Here is a 21,513-nt window from a genome sequence, read left to right as displayed (position 1 = left end):
AGATTAGTGATTGTCAGGGACCAACGGGAGTAGGTGGGTAGTAACTACTAATAGGTGTGGGGTTTCTTTTGCAGCGTGGTGAAAATGTTCTGGAATTAGATAGTGGTGATGGTTTCACAACCTCGTGAATATATTAAAAACCACTGAGCTGTATACTTTGAAAATAATTTTTAAATAAACAGATAAAATAAATATTAGGAAAGTCAATTTAAAAACAGAAATAAGCTGGGTGCAGTGATTCACACCTATAATCCCAGCAACTTGGGAGGCTGAGGCGGGAGGATCACTTGAGCTCAGGAGTTCAAGGCTACAATGAGCTACGATCACGCCACTGCACTCCAGTCTAGTTGACAGAGCAAGATCCTGTCTCTTAAAACAAAAACAAAAAACAGATGAAATTACTGCAAATTTGATTTTGCCACAGTACCAAAAAACAAAAAAGCATGAGGAATGATTCTCCCTTCCACCTCCCCACCCAACAAAAATATCTATAGCAGACCAGTCTTAGAGCTCCAGAGAATAGTAACGTGCCAGGAAAGAGGGTGAAGGAAGATGAGACCAAAAATCATACCGTCTTAGTCTGTTTTCTGTTGTTTTTAACAGAGTACCTGAAACTGGGTAATTTATAAAGAAAAGGAATTTATTTCCTACCCTTCTGGAGGCTGAGAAGTCCAAGGTTAGAGGGAGCGCATCTGGCGAGACCCTTCTTGCTAGTGGGAACTCTTTATAGAGTCTTGAGGCAGTGCAGAGCATTACGTGGCAAGGGGGCCTAGTGAGCTACCATGTTAGCTCAGGTCTCTCTTCCTCTTAAGAAGCCACCAGTTCCACACCAGTGATAACCCATTAATCCATTAACCATTAATCCATTCATGGAGCCAGAAACCTCAGGATCTGATCACCTCTTAGCAGCCCCACCTCTCAATACTGCCACATTAAGGATTAAATTTCAATATGAGTTTTGGAGGAGATAGACTAACAATGGTACATATTAAGAGTTTCTTCTCATTCAGGGGAAAGATAAAAATTTTTATACACTTTAAGCATTGATAGGGAAAAAGAAATGTAAGTGGAAATCTAAATAAAGCTGGGGATAACCACCAGAGAAACAGCAACATCTGATGTAGGTGTGCCCAAGCATTTTTCACATATTATAATACATATTTGTTTTTTGATAAATTATTTTCCTTTTATTTATGCTCTTTATAGTCTTAACAAATTCATATACTATATATAAATGAAATATATAGTATATAAATAAAATATATTTTATATCAGTACATAAATTTAAAATATTTTTATTTGCTATATATTTACATATAATATTATATTTATAAGTACACTTTATATTTAAAGTGCATTATATTTGGAGATATATTTTCTATAAATTTTATATCCAGGTAGTAAATGGAGCATTGCAAACTTTTTGGGGTTTTTTTTTTAGAGACGAGGTCTCTCTATGTTGCCCAGGCTGACCTCGGTTCAAGCAATCCTCCTGTCTCAGCCTCATGAGTAGCTGGGGTTACAGGAGCAACCTACCACGCCTGGCTCAAACTATTATCTCTGTGTTTAATGGGGCTGATAAGCAACTAAGCCATCCTTGGATTTCTTCTTGCTAACTGGTATCTTTCTCGCTTGTTTCTCTGTTTTTTGTTAGTTTGTCTGATTCTCACCACTAGAAAGCAAGCTCCGTGGAAAGCATGCTCATTGCCTGCCTGTCATCTGCCTTATCCGGAATGCCTAGCATCTGCCCCACCCGCCACCCTCGTGGGTACCTTCCGTCCCATCCCCCCCACTCCTGGCCGATGGCCCCACACGCCACCCTCGTGGGTACCTTCCGTCCCACCACCCCCCCACTCCTGGCCGATGGCCCCTCCCGCCACCCTCCTGGGTACCTTCCGTCCCACCCCCCCACACTCCTGGCCGATGGCCCCACCCGCCACCCTCGTGGGTACCTTCCGTCCCACCCCCCACACTCCTGGCCAAGGCAGCTACGGGCTGGAAACTTCTCCCAAAAAGCCAGGCCCGTTCAGCTGGGAATCCCCACAAAATGAGAATGAGGGGATTGAAAGTGTTTTTGTTCGAAGAGCTCTGGCATGGAGGCCACAGTCCTTCCATGAAATGTAACAAAGCGGGGCAGTTCACTCCTGAACACTTACCCGCACTGTACAGCAGAAGCTGCTTGGGATGAGCGACTGCTACAGGAGGTACGGGCTTCACCTGCTTTGCACTTTAAATGATTCCCAGCACAGCCTCTTCACAACATGCATTGTCCCTTTGCAGCAGAAAGTTACGTCCAGATTCTCCCAAGCACCACCCCATCCCAGACATTCCTGTCAACACCCTACCAAGAGGGTTAGAGCCTTGCAGACAAACAGATCGGCTTGATGTGGGGAGGGGACTCAGTTCAAGCACAGCCCCTGGGGACAGAGTAGAAGATTTTTTTTCCCTTTTTTTCAGATAGTGAGCATAGTACCCAATAAGTAGCAGACTGTATCAGCAGCTCAAGCTGTGTAGAAGACCGCCTTGGAGGCTGGGCATGGTGGCCTGTAATGCCAGCACTTTGGGAGGCCAAAGCGGGAGAATCACTTGAGGCCAGGAGTTTGAGATCAGCTTGGGCAACATAGTGAGACCCCATCTCTACAAAAAAATTTAAAAATTAGCCAGGCGTGGTAGTGCATGCTTACAGTCCGAGTTACTGGGGAGGCTAAGGCAGAAGGATTGCTTGAGCCCAGTAGGTGGAGGCTGCAGTGAGCCATGATGGCAGCATTGCCTGGGCAACTGAACAAGACCCTGTCTCAAAAAAAAAAAGTGTTGATTACACAAGGATAATAATGATTCCTTCCTAGGACTGGCTATAGGGATAAATGAGAAAACATATTTCAAGTGCCTGACTGTGTCTAGCATGTTGTCAGCAGTCAATAAACAACTGATAAATAGAGTAAGAATGAATGTGCCTAGTCCAGTGTCTGCCTCATGGTTGTCACTTACCAGAAGGCAGCAGGCAGCTCTTAGGAGAAGAGAGAAACGGAAAATCCGAGTTTGAAGGAGGTGGGTCAAGAACAGCAAAGAACTGTAGAGCAGAGGGTTCTTGACAATATCTGTAAAAATAAATTTTTATAAAATAAATTCATCTGGGGAATCTCTTTATTTTGATAAAGTGATTTCTTACTTGATAAAAAAGTCATTATAGAATTGCTTTAAAAAGTAAATCTTTTTCAAGATATCATTCCACGTATCACAATTTTACTTACACGCCACTTCCCTGAGCAAATTTATTTCTTGCAGTGACTCACATCTATATTAATATTTTAAATATCTTAATAATATAAAAATGGTGAATGGACGCTCACTACTTCCCTGGGGAAGATTAGAAGAAATTAGCTTAATTCTAGTAAGAAGGGCTTAGCATAGGCATGAGGAAGAGCATATTGGTATTAAGAGCAGTCACAAACACAACGAAATTAAATTTGTTATGTGAATACCTTCATATAAATCATTAGACACCAAAGTAGCTTCTGACTTTAACGGGCTATTTCAGAATCAAGGGAGTCGATTAGTGGAGATCCCTTGATATTCACAATTTCTATATTTTGCAAATGCACTTCCCATCTCCTTATTGGACATCTTTAGATTGGAAAGGAATCCGAATGGTCATTTCATTGAATCCTAGCACTTTCACAGGTGGCACCTGAGACCCCAGGAGGTGGAGCTGATTTGGCAAAGGTTGCACAGCCAGTTGACTATGCACTTGGGGTGGGAGACCACACCTCGTATAAAAATTTATTTCAATGTTCTCTCTGCTGTACTGTGTTATTACCACCCTTTTATGCTCTTTCACTGCTGGACTTAGTCTATTCCTTCAGCTACACCCTCTATACTAAATCCCAGTTGAACCCCAAACACCTTTCTGAGCCTCGTTGCTCAGTGTCAGTGGTCCCCGGTGGTTCAACACTTTTCTCATTCTACTTTGTCGAGACCCTAATCTTAAAGCAAAGGCTCCATCTCCTTCAATGTTACCTTTGATGGAAAATAAGTTCAACATGTTTAACAACAATATTCATGATATTTGATTCTAGTCATGAGGTGTTGCAGGTGTAACTTACGACTTTCACCATTGAAACCATAATTTCTAGAAATGGAAAGAGTAATGTGAGAAAATATTCTCACCACTGGTGAAAAATCACGTTTTCACAGGGTTTGCAAACAGGGAAATATTTGTGGTTTTGTCTCATATGTTTTGCTTTTTTTGGCAAAAGCAAAAGGCAGTTTTCTTTGCAATGAAAACGGCCTTTCGTTTTCGCCAATGCCTCACATCCATTTTTGCCAAGCAAAAAGCTGTTTTCCCAGGAGAAAACAGCTCAAGCTGAAAGAAAAGTGAAGCACAGTTTGTAAAATTTCCCTCTTAGAAAACAAAAATCACTCCACTCAATGCAAATGCCACCTGAGGGCCCTTGCATGGAGAAAGATAATGAGGGAGTCATGGTTGAACATATATGTAAACAAGCTTATCTAGAAAATAAAAAAAAAAGCCCAAAGTCACATGGGTGGCAGTTTTTAAATTATGCCCAGAATTAGTAGGAGTCCTGTCTTTACCTCTGTGGTCCAAATGTGCCTGCAGAAAACTCCTAACATGCTGTTTGTTGGTTTCCGTATGTCATTTATTCTGGGATGGCTTCTGTATTAATAATGACATTTTCCATCTTGTTATTACACCATGATCCATTTTGACACTCCCCATTTGACACTCCTAATTTGGACGCTTTCCAAATTAGGAAAGGCAGGCATTATCTCCGTTTTATGTAAGTTCGCCCAACATGTAGTGGCAAGGAAGGTGTGTTGCCCACGTGGCTGGTTTACACAAGGAGACTGAGGCCCGCTTGAGTTACTTTGCCAAGGTGATTTAGCGCCGGAATCTGGACCACAGTCCAGGTCTTCCGATTCCCTGTTCTTTGTGCTTCACCCTAGTTCTCTTCATAATAAACTCTGATCAGAATTTCCCAGTGTGACCGTGGAATTCATTCTTATTTTCGTTCTGTTTTGTTTTGCTTTGCATTTCCCTGAGGATGAAATCTGTAAACCTTTTGATGTGTCATAGCATAGCCTTCAGCAGGCCATCATTGCTGCTAGAAAGATAACTTCATTGTGAAAAAAATCTAAAGTTTCCAGTAGCCATTCCCATTGCAAATAGATGATACAGCAACTGTCACCTTTATAGAAGTGGACCATTTATTATATAGAAAAATAAAAAGATTGAAACCAGTTTTGTTGAACAGCAATATTTAATGAGCTATTCCTTGAGACAGCCACTGGGGATTTTTTTTAATACCATATATTAAAACAAAAGCTGTAACCAGATTGCAAAATGACCCTCAAGTTCTTAATTTGTTTAAAATAAGACATTTTTTTTCTAAATTTCCACATCTATCAGAATTCTTGTTTCATAGCTTATTATTTCCCATTCAAGCAGCCACAAAAGATATAAGCAAATATTTTACATATATTTCAATCCTAGATGTGGACATTCAGGTAAATCTTGGTGTGTCGTAAACATACCTCCATTTGCCCCGCTATCCATTTATTCCTAACCGCCCTCTCTGAATAAAAGCTCAAGTCATAGCTCCTAGGAGAGCATTAGACTTCTCTGATCTTCCACCTTTTCCAATTTCTCCATCTGTGCTAATCTGCACAACAAAATTTACCACTTACATCACAGAAATGCACTCTTAAAAATGGTAAAGTTTATGGTAAATTTTATATGCATATTTACTCCAACCAAAAAAAATTAGAAAAAAAGTATGGTTTTATTTTAACCAAGGCCATGTTTAAGTCTAAAGAGTTTAAAAATAAAGCACTTATATAATTTTTTCCCTTAAAAAATGTACCACTTAACTGAATATTGCCTGGATTGTTTCACATGTATACATTAAATCTTTCTAACTCATTGAGAGAAACTTCCTGAAAGCTTAAACCATATCTCAACCTTTTAAGTCTCTCTCAAGACTTCTAACAGTACTGTAGCACAGCAGAGCATACATTCATAATTATTGATTAAAGAGAATTTTCATAAAACACACCTCAATTTGATGCTTCTCTTAAAGGTTTCAATAGATAGGGGGAAGGCAGCTTCATGGAAAATCATAAAATCTCATCTTACTGCATTTTATCTCAAAATTCTCAATTAATACCAATTAACCACTTTTTTTTTTTCTTTTTTGAGGTAGAGTTTTGCCCTGTCACCCAGGCCAGAGTACAGTGGCATGATCGTGGCTCACTGCAGCCTAAAGTTCCTGGGTTCAAGCTATCCTCCTGCCTCAGCCTCCTCTGTAGCTGAGATTACAGGCGCATCCTACCACACCCAGCTAATTTTTTAGTGTTTTTTTCTTTTGTAGCAATGGGATCTTGCTATGTTGCCCAGGCTGGTCTGGAACTCCTGGGCTCAAGCCATCCACCAGCCTCGGCTTCCAAAAGTGCTGGAAGTACAAGCATGAGCCACTGCACCTGGCCCCACTTTATTCTTTATTCTTCATTATGCTTCACATTTGTAAGGAGGAGATTTCACAGAAGCAAAAACAGAGCATACCCTCTGGTAGTAAACAGCAATTTGCAGTAATGAACTCTGATACCTTGGACAGCGCCTTGGCACGTTGTGTGGTTCAACATTCATTCAATTGACTGAGTGGGATATTTGATTAAGTGAGCCTTCAGACAGCAAACAACTAGGAGAAGAGGAGTGGGCAGGGATGGGAGCCGCAGGAAAGACGGCAAAACAGTGATACTCAATTAGTGCATTAGTGCACTTCAGAAACCCCTAGGGTACCACTTGGAAGCCTGAGGCTTCCTGTCTCTGTATATCACAGGAGGCTGGGGGCTCCCCAGAGTCTACATCAGCCAGATGATGGCAGGACATCTGGAGCATGTCTGCCAGTGCTGAGTTGTCCCTACACTGACAAGGGGTGAGGAGGCTGGGGCCAACTCTAGCCCACGTGGCTCTGATGCGTAGAAGCTGCTTGCCTTCCAGCATGCCCTCAGTTCCGCCAGGGCAGGGTCAGTGTCTGTCCTCCTTCCCTCTCCAAAGCGAGTGTTAAGAAGCTGACATTTATCAAAATGAACAGACACCTGCTGCCAGTGACTTGTGCCCTGAATAAGGGCACTCAGAAGAGCATCTAGAGAGTTTGCGATGAGAATCAGAGGCTCTCGATATTAGGAATCTCCACACACAAGTTTTCACTTGCTGTGCATGGCATTTATGATAACCAGCCATACCCCTGCAAGGAGGAAATCCTTATTTCCATGCTTTTACTCTGGGGAGAGGATGGTAAGAAAAAGTCTGCAGGTTTCTTCTTGAGGTATATCCCAGAGTCTCAGCTTTTTGTTCCTTATTTCTCATATACAGCAGTTCATTTGTATTCCACTGGGCTTCTGCACACAAAATTCATCTCTGTGTGGGTGGAAGTAGCCCCAACTTACTTCCGTGCTGTTCACAGAGTTATTTTCATTATTGGTACATTATGTGCTATCTCTGAAACTCACTGTACTTGGAGAAACAAGTGTTGGACTCTGGAGGGGTAAAATCTAGTTTAATTGCCTTAACTCTCTTGTTGCCATCAGGGTAAGCATTGTTCCCCATCACCCCTCATTGCATGTCTATATCACTAAACCTGGGTCTGTACCTTCAGTAATGAAACTGGTGTGCATGGCAGGGACTTAGAATTCAAATTGTGCTCCATGCCCTCCATTTCTATCATGCAACTGCAAATTAGTAAACTAATCTGGCATGTTCCTTAGCCTCTGCTGAAAAACAGTCAGACACCATGCAAGTTCCTAAACTTGATCTTAAACATAATCGCAAACACAAGTGAGGATTTGGCCTGGTAGGGGGGAGAGAGAGCTGGCATTTGTTGAATGCCTTCCATGGGCTACACATTTCCACCAGTCTTATTTCATTCATCATGCCCACGCTAGCTCTAGAAGGTGAATCTTGCTAACATTATCTGGTAGATTAGAAAATGGAGGTATGGAGAGGTGAAACAATTTGCCAATGTTCATGCAGCTAATCAGTGGCCGAGCCAGGATTTCAATCCAGGACTGCCTCCTTCCACATCTCCACCCTTTCTTCCCTGCTCTGCTGCCTCTCCTGGTGAATGCAGGACCTGTGAGACAGGGGCTGAAATGAAGCATCACTTGCAGTACAGCAAAATAAAAAGCCCAGTGGACCTGTTCAGGATGTCACAAATGCATTCCACGCTGCCCTACACATAATGCTGCAGTGTTCACAGAAAGAAGCAAGCCTCCTTTCCACCAAACCCCCGGGGAGGCAGCTGAGGTATAGCTGGGTCCCTACATACTCTTTCTATCATGTTCTCAGGCATTTTAAGGCATGATTAGCCTTAAATTATTCCCTAATATTAGACTCTGGTTTTCCTGCTTCCAGAGATAACAGGATATACCCAAGAGGGCTACAAAAAAATTAAAACAGCATTCCTTTTAAAACTAAGCTTTCAGAGTCAAGAACATGAAAGTTCTGTCTCGACAGGCTCTAGAAGCAGCCTGTCCAGGTCCAAATGTGAGCTCTGCCACTTACTACCTGATGAACCTTGGCCCAGTTGCTCCCCCTTTCTGTGTCTCAGTTTCCTCATCTGTGAGGGTGGGAATCATAACAGTACATATTTCACAAGGTCGTGGTGGGATTGCTCGAGTTAAGCTACGTGCAGCGCTAAGATGCTAGCTGACCCTTGGAAAGGACCTGTTAGCCATTGCTGCCTTATAGGCACATTTTCCCCTTGCCCTTGAGCCAGTGACCCTTGAGAGATTTCTCCGCTTCTTCTAGATCCATGACATGGTTGACAGGACTCCTTACGAGCACTTAGACTTACTGGGCTTGGGAGATTCAGTTTTTGTTTTCTGTTCAATATGCCATTGATACAGGCCTAGGGGCTGGGCATCGTGGCTCACGCCTGTAATCCCAGCACTTTGGGAGACCAAGGCGGGTGGATCACCTGAGGTCAGGAGTTCAAGACCAACCTGACCAACATGGTGAAACCTCATCCCTACTAAAAATACAAAAAATTAGCCAGGTGTGGTAGCGGGTGCCTGTAATCCCAGCTACTCGGGCGGCTGAGGCAGGAGAATTGCTTGAACTCAGGAGGCAGCGGTTGCAGTGAGCCGAGATTGTGCCTCTGCACTCCAGCTTGGGCAATAAGAGTGAGACTCTGTCTAAAAGAAAGAAAGGAAGACAGACAGACAGAAAGAAAGAAAGAAAAGAAAGAAAGAAAGGAAGAAAGAAAGACAAAGAAAGAAAGAAAGAAAAGAAAGAAAGGAAAGAAAGAAAGAAAGAAAGAAAGAAAGAAAGAAAGAAAGAAAGAAAAAAGAAAGAAAGAGAAAGAAAGAAAGAAAGAAAGAAAGAAAGAAAGAAAGAAAGAAAGAAAGAAAGAAAGAAAGAAAGAAAGAAGAAAGAGCGAGCGAGCCTGTAATCCCAGCACTTTGGGAGGCTGAGGTGGGTGGATCAACAGGTCAGGAGATCAAGACCATCCTGGCTAACGTGGTGAAACCCCATCTCTACTAAAAATACAAAAAATTAGCTGGGCATGGTGGCAGGCGCCTGTAGTCCCAGCTACTCGGGAGGCTGAGGCAGGAGAATGGCGTGAACCTGGGAGGCAGAGCTTACAGTGAGCCGAGATCGCGCCACTGCACTCCAGCCTGGGCGACAGAGGGAGACTCCGTCTAAAAAAAAAAAGGAAAAAGAAAGAAAGAAACAACAAAGAAAGAAAAGAAAGAAAGAAAACAAAAAAAACAGGCCCAGGTTCTCTCCTTTGTATCCATGGATTTATCCCTCCTTTCAGGCTTCTGTTATGTGGGAAAGGCAAGAAGGCAGTTTTCAAGGCCTTGTGCTGATAATGCCTCTGACTGAGAATAGAACCTACGTCACATCCTTCTCATTGGCCTTTCCCTGGCATCTCTCTTGACAATGCTCCATTCCATCTTACCCCCATATCCTAGGCCGTGGATGTGTTCTGTGTCCTACGATTGTCTTAGAGCCTCCAAAAGAATCACTGAAAGTTCTTGGTCTCAAGGACCTTCCAGCCTGTATCCTTTTGTTAGTCTTTCAACTTCCTTTGCGTTGACAAGAACCCTACCTGTTGACTGGCTGTCTTTCTGCTGGTAATAGTCTGGCATCCATGTATATATTCAGACAAGTTTGCTGAAGTGGGCAATGTTTATTCTATCCTTGTAGCTTAATGTGGCTGTAGTTAAGAAACATGCCTGAATGTATTCCAAGACAATGATTTGTCCTGTCTCTTTTCTCCTCCATTTTTACAAGTTGACATGTTTGGAAATGTGCAATGAGATGTTTTCTTAAAATCATGTTCAACATTTAAGGATGACTGGCCCACATTTGGGGGGCCACGCGTTGTTTTCAGCACGGCAAAAAATGCAAAGAACAAAGCAGACAAGTCCTCTGCTCTGGTGGAACGTGCATTCTAAGGGAAGAAATGGCCAATACACAGAAGAGGACCAAACAAGCAGGATCATTTGTGTTGAGTGCTGTGGGGGAACAAAGGACGAGCAGGAGGCAGAGCAGAAAGCTGGAGGAGGCTGAACAGGGGGATCTGACAGAGAAAAAGGTGGCAGCACCAGGGCGAGAGTAAGCACGTGGGAAAGTCCTTTTTGAAGCAGTGACATTTAAGTTGAGGCCTAAAGGGAAGAGAGAGCCAGCACTTAAAAGTCAGGGGAGGGCCGGGCGCGGTGCCTCGTGCCTGCAATCCCAGCACTTTGGGAGGCAGGTGGGTGGATCACCTGAGGTCAGGAGTTCGAGACCAGCCCGACTAACATGGTGAAACTTGATCTCTACTAAAAATACAAAAATGAGCCAGTTGTCGTGGTGCATGCCTGTAATCCCAGCTACTCGGGAGGCTGAGGCAGGAGAATCATTTGAACCCAGGATGCGGAGGCTGCAGTGAGCTGAAATCGCACCACTGCACTCTAGCCTGGGCAACAGAGTGAGACTCTGTCTCAAAAAAAAAAAAAAAATTGGGGGGACACATTCCAGGTAGAATCAACAGCAAGTACAAAGTTCCTAAGGCAGAGAAGACTATAATATTCAAGCCAGAGAAGGAGGGCAGGGGTACAGCACAGGATTGGAGATGTGGACAGCTGTCACATCACACAGGGCCTTGGGGACCATGGTAAGGAGGTTGCATTTGATGATGAAAACATGTCTAACATATTAGCAACTCACACCGCAGGCTGGGCTCCCCACGAAGATCCTTCCTTCCTTTCATATGGCAGACACTTCCTCCAACTTTAACAATAATTGCCTACACCAGAATTTTTCAACAATGCTAAATTAAAGAAGAAAAAGCAGAGGAAGGAAGCAAGTTTTAAAGAAACTTTGCCAATCTAGATGGAAAGGGGAAAAAATACATCTTTAGTCCCTGTGCTCCTATTTTTAAAGCTGTGGTGGCTCTCATCTGGTGTGTTAAAGATGACAAAGATTGGTCAGTGAACAGCAAATTCAGTTCCTTTGAGTAACAGTTTTAATTGCTTTAATGTGAATTCTGGGTATCGGAAAGAGAAAAGTTTATCTGTTACAGACCCATTCAAAATTCCAGACACAATTCATTAATTCTTTTAGATAAATAACGTAGTTTGTTCCTTGTTCCATGACCTGAACTTAAATTGAGATAAGACTGGGGTAGCTAATTTCTCTGTTATGCGCTAAAAAATCAGAGTCCAGTGTTAAGAAGCAAAACCTAGAGTAAGAGGGTGGCATAAATCCCTTAGATAAACTAGATATTAAATGCTTCATTCTGTATAATTTGTTAATGTAGGCATTAAATGTCATTGCCCCATTAAGAGAGTATCTATTTCTTCTAGATTGTGGTGCAAACTCTTATTTTAAATAGCTGATCAAATAGTACTTAGAAGATGAATGCCATTTAGTTTTCAAGATCTTTCATTATTTGCTTTAATTTATCTTAAGATCCTGCTCTGCTCTGTGTAACATTCAAAATGAAAAGGAAGACCACACAAGAATCTTCACTGTCCCCACCACAGTGAAGAGAGGAAAAAGAGAAACCCCTTGACTTAGGAATACGAACTTTCTCCCCGGCAGATTTAATTAAATATCTAAATGTTAATAAAGCATTTGTCAATGGACTACTTAATTACTTTGAAAGCAATTCACTCCCCCACAATTCATTTTCCAGATGAGAAAGTGGAGAATCACAATGATTTAGGAAATAATCTCTAGCACAATGCATTTTGTAATCTCTAGCCAGGAAGAAAACATCTTACTTTGTTTTCTTTCTTATAAAATTAATGCTAATCATTGTCCTTCTGCGTATTTGAAGCCTGGAAGTGAAGATCTCCTCAAATTTAGAGAAAAAAAAATCACTTTCCTAACAGCTCCTCTTAGAACAGGCTCCAAATTGCAAAATAAAAATTACAGCATATATCTCTTCTCTGTATTTATATCTTCTGTATTTACATCAGAAGTGAATTTTAATTTAAGAGGCACAGCAACTTGTATTTTAAGAACAAATTAGCCTCATTAGCTAGTGCAAAATGCTGCTCCTCCAGCTATCATTTTGAGATCCTTAAAAATTAGATTTATCTTCCCTTTGCCATCAGAAGCCAATCCTCAGATTAAATGACAGCCTTCAGCCACACATAGAGCTAATATTGGCAGATCAGTTGTTGCTTTTGGTCACTGCCTTTGCAGACATCCAAGTACTAAAAAGGAGGAAAAGCGAAGCCATCTGACACCAGCATTTGTCTGGGGAGCGTTACTAAAACCAAATTTTAAAATGGCTCCTTCTGAGAGGAACTTTGCAGAGGAACAAGCATCCAGGAAGCTTTCTGGGGTCCTGACAGATGAGCAGTTCCACTTAATTCTTCAGTGTTGAAGGGTCGTGGTCAGGGTAAATCTAACGGCTTTGGAATGAAAAGTATGAGAACAATGTAAACTCATTTGTTTTTTAGCCATGGCCCTTCTTTCACTCCCCTAAAAAGACACTTTAATAATCTCATAGCCAGTTTCCCTCCTTGCAAATTTTAGTTCTCCCTTGTAAACTACAGTATATACTTTCACGCTAATTACACTTCAATAATTCTTGAGTCTCCTAGAAAAAAGATCAGGAAAACCCTCTTCCATTTCAATGCTCCATTCCTGTTACTTTTAGGCCCAATCACACTGTCCATTTTTCTCATAAATCAGCCCATCGTGTTAATCACTTTTGTTGCTTTATGCTGATTTCCCTCTAGTTCTTCTACGTCTGTCTGCTTTCAGGATACGCAGATCTGAACACAATATTCCAGGTGTGTCTTTGCCAAATGCACTAAATTACTCCACCTTTCCCTCATGACGTGATGTCTCTACACATACAGCCCCAAATCACATTAGCTTCTGTGGCATATTGCAAACTCGTCTAATTTGTTGTCCAGTCCCTGGTCCCTCTGGCATTACTGTGTTCTGGATTTTTCCCTCTCGCTGGTTACCTTTACAGCTTTTCCCCTCTCTAAATCATTGAGGTTACACCTGTCTGACTTAATTCTCATTTCGTTTGATCCTTTCTATATTTTTAACCTCAGAAACCCTGTGTAGCATTTCTCTTTATTCACTGGTGTGTTTCCAATACTTCCTGATTTAATTTCATCTGCAAATCTAATTAACATGCTGTTTACTACATTTTTTTTTCACGTTAGAAATGGACATGCTCAGGAAAAAAATAGCACTAACAGGGATTCCCGGGGCCCTTCTCAGCTCCTCTCCTACTGGGATAGCCTCAGAAAGTGCAATTAACTTTCTCCGGCCCAGGGGATGACTGTTTCAGCCACTTTACACCATTTTGATGGACAGCTGTGTCTCTACCCTAATCAGCCAATTTGGAGATAGAACAATTACAAAAGACAGCAATTACGGAATGCAGTCTGTCATTGTGAAGATGGAGGTTGAGAGAAGGAAGAGGAAAGAAGAAATGACCCAAATTCAGAGTCAGATGCTAAAAAGATTTCAACCCTACTGAGGGAGTGGACCCAAACAGGGGACTCTGAGAAGCAAAGAAACTCCTAGATTCAGGGAGGGGAAAATGCAGACCTGCTTTTCTAGTAAACCTCCAGCCCATCTCCCAGATTCCCAGTAATCAAAGACCAATGATTGTTTTTTGTTGTTCTTAAAGATTCCAAGAGTTTCTTAAAATCATGCTCTGCTATTTAAACAATTACTCTTAGGCCAGGGACAGTGGCTCACACCTTGTTATCCCAGCATTTTGGGAGGCCAAGGCGGGCGGATCACCTGAAGCCAGGAGTTCGAGACCAGCCTGGCCAACATGGTGAAACCCCGTCTCTACTAGAAATACAAAAATCAGCCAGGTGTGGTGGTGCGCGCCTGTAATCCCAGCTACTCAGGAGTCTCAGGCAGGAGAATCACTTGAACCCGGGAGGCAGAGGTTGCAATGAGCCAAGTTCATGCCATTGCACTCCAGCCTGGGTGACAAGAGTGAAACTCTGTCTCAAAACAACAACAAGAACAACAAAACAATAAACAATTATTCTTAAGGTGTCGTGTTATATCTCTCTGATTTTTTGTTATAATTTAAGTATAATCCACTTTGTTTTTTAAAGTAAATAAGATGACTGGCAAGATCTGTTTCAGAATTATTACAAATCATAGGGCTTTGAAGAGATGTCCTTTTACTGTTTCTTCTTTGGGCTCAGTACTTTCAAGTTCTTGATCTTTTGCTATTCACTTTAGCAATTGTCTCAAAAGCAACACATACTTTCTCCATATCCAGTGAAAAGATCTAAAAGTGGGACACTAACCAATAAGAAAATATTATTTCCCAATTTTAATGGTTACAGTCTTATCAAAAGATTAGAAAAACATCATAAGAAACATAATATGTATCTCCATTTAAATATGTATTTAATTATAATGCTTTCTAATTAAATGTATTTTTAATATGGAAGCAGAAGAACAAAAAAGGCAATATGTTTTTTAAAATCAGGTCTCTGGCAGAAGTCATGTTGGAAACTTATGGAGCTTAATAAAGAAATCCTTCCCAACATAGATTGTACAAACATCAGGAAGGAGAGAGAAACGAACTAAAAGGATTGGTTGCCAGGGAAAACTTTTTCATATTTTGGGGGGAGAAAATCACATTACAGGATCTATTGAATATTTTAAAAAAGTCTTGTACCTTACCTCTCTCCAACTTTCTTCCCTTCTTATAAAATAAGGAAAATGAAGTAGGAAACTACATAAAAATCCAGCTTTCCTGTGAGTATAAAAAAGGAAGAAAAGGGTTATAGACAAGAGATGCCCGAGAGAGACAAGAATTATGAAGACAACCAAATGTTCTCTATCAGGTAAGCTGAAAACAGATTGTAGAAAACTTTTGACACCAAACTTTCCTGGAACCCTGAAGCAAGTGAGTGTGCTCAAACTGGAAGTTTCCACAACGCCTTGGACAGACCCAGGCTTCAGAACATCTGTAGGTGAAACGAAACTAAACATTTTCTCAAGAACAAAATGAGGTAAGTCCAAATTAGATTGAGCATTGACTGTGCTTACTGGCTTTATCCTTTCTTGGACATAAGATATCTGCTCTCTTCCTATCTCAGCTTTCTCATCTGTTAAATCTACTCAAATATCCTCTCCCACTGGATTATAATAATGATCAATTGAATTGATGGAAGTGAAACCTCAAACTTCATACAGAAATAAGACATTTTTCCTAATCAAGATTTCACAAAAAGGCCGAGCACGGTGGCTCAAGCCTGTAATCCCAGCACTTTAAGAGGTTCAGGAGGGCTGATCTCCTGAGCTCAGGAATTCGAGACCAGCCTGGCCAACATGGCAAAACCCTGTCTCTACAAAAAATACAGAAGTTAGCTGGGTGTGGTGGTGTGTGCTTGTAATACCAGCTACTCAGGAGGCTGAGGCAGGAGAATTGCTTGAGCCTAGGAGGCAGAGGTTGCACTGAGCCGAGATGACGCCATTGCACTCCAGCCTGGGCAACAGAGCAAGACTTTGTCTCAAAAAAAAAAAAAAAAAAGATTTCTCAAAAAATGGCCAGGCTTGATGGTTCATGCCTATAATGCCAGCAATTTAGGAGGCCCAGGCAGGAGGATGACTTGAGCCCAGGAGTTCAAGACCAGCCTGGGCAACATAGTGAGATCCTGTCTCTCCAGAAAATTAAAAAAAAAAAAAAAGCTAGGCATGGTGGCCCCTAATCCCAGCTACTTGGAAGGCTGAGGTAGGAGGATAACGTGAGCCCAGGAGTTTGAGGTTGCAGTGAGCTATGATCGTGCCACCACATTCAGCATGGGTGACATGCTGCCTCTTTAAAAAAAAAAAAAAAGAAGAAGATTTCACAACAACTTGAAATGTTTTATTGTTACTGAGAGTGTTTATGGTTACTATTACTCACCACTGGAAAAACATTCAATTCTGTATTTATTAATCCTAAACCAATGATATTAACACTTCCATTTTCAGACAAGGGAACAAATAAGAATTAAAAATATTTAAAATATTCAAAATGTCTATTTAATACTTCATTGCATATAATTCTGATTCTATTTATTCAGTAACAATCTATTTGGAACAATCAAACTTAGTATGCATTTTTCATAGGATTTCAATTATGAATGTTTATATTTTGGAATTATCCTATCATTTAACTGCTTCTAAGTAGTTTGCTATATTCCCATGTATTCTACTTCTTTTCTTTTCTTTTTTCTTTTTCTTTCTTTTTTTTTTTTTTTTTGAGATGGATTCTCACTCTGTCGCCCAGGCTGGAGAGCAGTGGCACAATCTTGGCTCACTGCAACCTCCACCTCCCAGATTCAAGTGATTCTTGTGCCTCAGCCTCCTGAGTAGCTGGGATTACAGGTGCCCACCACCATGACTCACTAATTTTTGTATTTCTAGTAGAGATGAGGTTTCACCATGTTGGCCAGGCTGGTCTCGAACTCCTGACCTCAGGTAATTCACCCACCTCGGCCTCCCAAAGTGCTAGGATTACAGGCGTGAGCCACCGCGCCTGGCCCATGTAGTCTATTTATGACCACATACTTATTACCAATGATGTGAAGTAAAAAGCAAGTCATGCAATACTGACTATATTGAAATTACCAAACATTTGATAGTCATAGTTGAACTGCCAAGCAATGAATGATACAGCAGTATAGTTAAGTTCATTTAGCCACTAGGATTCCTGCAACAACTGGATCAACCATTTTTAGACTGGTTACATATCAATGAACAGTTGATGAACTTTGGTTGCAAATATGACTAAAATTACCCAGACTACAAATATTTACTCTGATTACTGCAATTGTTAACTGATCATGTATTGATCTAACCTAGTATTCATTGGTTAACCTGCAAATGGCCATGCATATAGATGCACAAAGTGTGTTATAATTTAGTTTTAACCTCCAATGACATATAGGCAAGAAAAATACATGTAAAATGTGCTATGAAAAAATTCCAGATATATGTGTGTGTGTATGGAAAGTTGGTATTGCCCATCGGAAGTTTGCTAATAAAATGAATATCAAAGAATATTTGTTAACAATTGAAGGACTCCCTGGTGATTATACAAAGAGATTGAGATAAAATTAGCAATATCCATATGTGAAAAGAAGCTTGAAAACAGATGAATACAGTCTTAAGCATCAAAAATATATACCAGCTGAACGCATTGAGCAATCTTAGCACCACTAAACATGGGATGACTAGGTATTATTTGCCCCGTAATGTGTTGCAATAGGAAATACACAGCACCAGCTATGAAGTATTCTTGCCTAAAAAATTGAACTTGAATCCCAACAAGCCTAGAGATCTAAATACCAATTCACAGGAAATACAGGAGATGAAAGACCAGGTTAAATGTCTTTACAAGCCAACAACGGGCCAAACTCAGAATGCAAGGCACTCTATGGACAAATGACCTGGTTTATCTAACTAATCAGTAACAATGAAAAAAAGAGAGAAAATAAACCATAGAGCCATTATCAGAACCTCGTTTGGGTCCTGATTTGAACAAACAAACTGTACAAATGTACCACTGAGACAAACAGAGGACTCTGAGGCTAGACTAGGAATTAGATGATGTTGAAGAAATATTATTCTGGGTTGTTGTGTGTTTTTAATTGCCCTTGCCTATTAAAAATGAACATTGAAGTATTTCAGGGTAAAATGACATTTCAAATTTACTTTAAAACACTCCAGGAAAGTGGGGAGAAAATATGTGTGTGGATGGCAGGGAGAAAGATGAGACAAAGTTAGCAAAATGTTAGTAATGGTTAAACCTACGTGATGGGTACCTGAGTCTGTCTACTATCTACTTCTTTAGTATGTTTTACATTTTTTCACACTGAAACATTTTTAAATGAGTAAATGAATCTACACTCCATTTAATTGTTTATTTACATAACACGGTGATAGATATCAGCACAGTAGTTTAGGGGAATAGATGGCAGCTTAAATCTTGATTTGCCTGCAAGTTCTAAATCATGAATCTTCAGTAAGTTCAATTTTAAACTGTAGTGAAACAATAGCCCAATAATCTCCATACAGGACTACTCTGGTTTTCATTAAAAACAAAACAAAAAACACCGAATTCTTACCTATCTCTCTTTTCCTCTTTTCCCACTTCCAGCAGACTCACAAGAATGAGTTGCTTTACAGCTACATCATTGTGTCTTCATAACCATCCCACAGCCCTCCTGGTGGGGCAAGGGAGGGAAAACAGTGCCTTAGCACAAACAGGCTCATTGCTAACATGCCTAGGGGCTATGTCTGATCCATGAATTGATGCTTTTCATTCAAAAAAGAGCTGGGGCGGGGGTCTTGCTAGGGGTCTGTAGCTGGTGCATCAGGAGAATGCAGAGAAAGCGGAAGAAGATGAGGTCTTAAAATTAATATATAAATTTCCCTTTAATTTTGTTTTGCTTTTGTAGATGGTTTTATTTTAGGTAAATAGGCTTTACTTTACCACCTCTCCAACACAGTTATTTTTTAAGCCTAGGAAAAAAAATGTATTCCAGTTTACCATGGGCAGAAAAGACAAGCTGCCCCATATGAAGGTGCCCCCGTTCACATCCCGTTGCCATAAATCCCAGCTCACATAGTACTCAAAAGCCCTCCAGGGATAGCAGAGAGGTGTAATGCAGAGCAACCATTCGAAGGGTGGAAGAAAAGCACATCCTGATGTCTTGGAGCTAAGAGAAGGAAAAGGATATTTACACAAGATGAGACACCAATACATTGGGAAGTTCAATGTGCTTAGAAATAGACAGTGGCTGGGACAAGTATAGGGGAATCAAATTGCTCCAACAGATTGCATGTTTCATGCTTAATTTTCATTTAATTCCTGAAGACAGCAGGCGCTCAAGGGAATGACCCACCCTCATCCTCAATCTTCAGAAAAACTTTTGCTGACCCCTCAAACATCAAGGCCTAGAAATATCCTTATTTGCTGCCTTGGATTGGTCATCTTCCATAAAGTACTTATTGATGAGGAGAAACGTTCATTTGAGATTCAGCCACAGAGTAGTGTTTCAGACCAAGGAAGATGTACAGGGTGGACATGTCCAGCCTCTTCCTCTGAACTGATTTATCTCTCATCATCTTTGTGCCCTGAGGGAACAGGAAGCCCTCTCACCACCTCCTCCATCTCCTAGTTGATCTATGTCACAAAAGTACAATTAACAAATTAATGTATCTGTTTTAAGCAGAAACATTTCTGTCAGCTCAGTCAAGAAATGAAGTAAAGTTAAGTGATAGAACTGAAGTTCTGAATAACAAGAATAGTTTTGTTGGGTTCAACATGAGGTTATAACAAAGTAGAAGTAATGGAGAAACTACAATCAGATATGTTTAAATGCCTTTAACTTATTGGGTTTTTTAATTAAATAAGGTAATATATGCAGGGCCAACTGGAAATAAAGACAGCATGTTGCTAATGGTCAAGAACTGGACACCAGGGAGAATTAATTAACCCTTAATGTAGTGGTTCCCCAAAAGTCTCCAAATACATCTAAAACATTCACTGTGCTGCAATGATCATGAATAGAAGCTGATTTATGGTGCTGATTTAGTTCAATATTAACTGGAAAATCTAAATAATTATGAATTTCCTTGGGGACATAGAGTAGGTGACATCCAACCAGTTTTTCTCATTTATAATTTCCCTTGGGGGAAAGAAGCTAGCTAAAATATATGTATAAAATTTAAGACTTTAAGGAAGACTGAGGCCTGATTTGTTTTGTTTCTTCCTAAGAGAAGTTTAGTTATTATTAGTGAGGGTGATTTTTTTAAAATTCTGAATATTGATATTTCATAGACCATAGGTTCATTTTTTCAACAAGAATTTGTGGGGTACCTACCATGTTCAAGAGCATGTGCTTCTAGATTTAAGAACCCAATATTTAATCCCCCTTGTTTAGTTTTTATTATTTTTAACAAGGTAATCGCTTTTAGCCTTCCTGTGACATGACTAGACTTTAGTGACAATAAAAATATTAGAATAATAATTTCTAGCCACTAACAAAAAAGTTGCTTTGTTCTTTCAACTTTACATCTGATATTAAATGTCATTGCCCAAAAGATTATACTATATTGTATTTTTATTCAAGCCCAACTTACAGCATTTTAGAGGAAATTAGAGCCAAGTCCCATTGGTATTTGAAAGTGGCAATATCATGATTTCTCCATATTTTGTATTCCAGCATTTTTTCTCTTTTCCCAACCTGTTCTGTAGACAGGTTTCCAATTTTGTACCACATCTTCAAGTGTGATTCTACAGAAAGTTTTATATAATTGGGGAATACTCATGATATTTCAGAAACAAATAACCCTCTAAGTTGATAACAAATAAATTTTGGTTTAAATGCAAAGTGTACTTTCATTTCCAAAAATCTGACCTTTATTTTTCACAAAACTCCTATGAAGAAGTCCCATTCATGAATTTTATCTATATCATAACAAAAATATCTAATTGCCTCTTCTATGAAATCTGTATTTATCAATTATGGCTTTCTCGGGGAAATTCTAATTTGCAAAAATGCTCCATATTCCAAGCTTTAACAGTTGGAGGTGGATGTCCTTAAGGATGGAGGGGAAAAAAGTTCTTTTTTAAATGGCACATTTACTAATTATAAAATGCTCTTATCTCTCTGCAGCCAAAGCCAAAATGAACATGTGCCTTGTACTAAGAAATCCCAGGATTGTCACAACTTGTGCCAGCTGTTGAGGTTGTGACACCTGTGCCAGCATCGCCAGCTCTGCCCACTGTCATCTGTTCCAACTGTTCCATCTGCACTGTTTGTACCAATTCTCCCATTTCTGCATCTGCACCTTCTGCAGAAACGTTTCCAACAATGCCAGCTGTGTCATTGGTGCCAAATATGCCAGATGTTCTATTTGTCCACCCTGGGCCAAATCAATGCAGTTTTGTGCTCATTAGTTTTAGCTGGTAGATTCTATTTTACAATTTTTTGATT

At 40.4% G+C, this 21,513-nt stretch overlaps 2 long non-coding RNA genes across 2 annotated transcripts in view; one reads left to right on the top strand and one right to left on the bottom strand.

Annotated features, from left to right (window-relative positions):
* LINC02774 (long intergenic non-protein coding RNA 2774) overlaps nt 1-21,513 on the bottom strand; it is a 129,916-nt gene that overhangs the window by 65,810 nt on the left and 42,593 nt on the right. The window contains exon 2 of the long non-coding RNA NR_033883.1: nt 2,989-3,098. This is a non-coding gene — a long non-coding RNA (long intergenic non-protein coding RNA 2774). The remainder of the gene's footprint in view (nt 1-2,988; nt 3,099-21,513) is intronic.
* Nucleotides 1,994-21,391, top strand: LOC105373258 (uncharacterized). Its single transcript, XR_949337.2, has 3 exons — nt 1,994-2,204; nt 15,238-15,366; nt 21,193-21,391. It is a non-coding gene; the product is annotated as an uncharacterized LOC105373258 (long non-coding RNA).

The sequence above is a fragment of the Homo sapiens genome, chromosome 1 (genome assembly GCF_000001405.40).
Source record: "Homo sapiens chromosome 1, GRCh38.p14 Primary Assembly".
NCBI lineage: Eukaryota > Metazoa > Chordata > Mammalia > Primates > Hominidae > Homo > Homo sapiens.
Note: the sequence above shows the minus strand (reverse complement) of the source record. Positions and strands in the feature narration are given on the sequence as shown.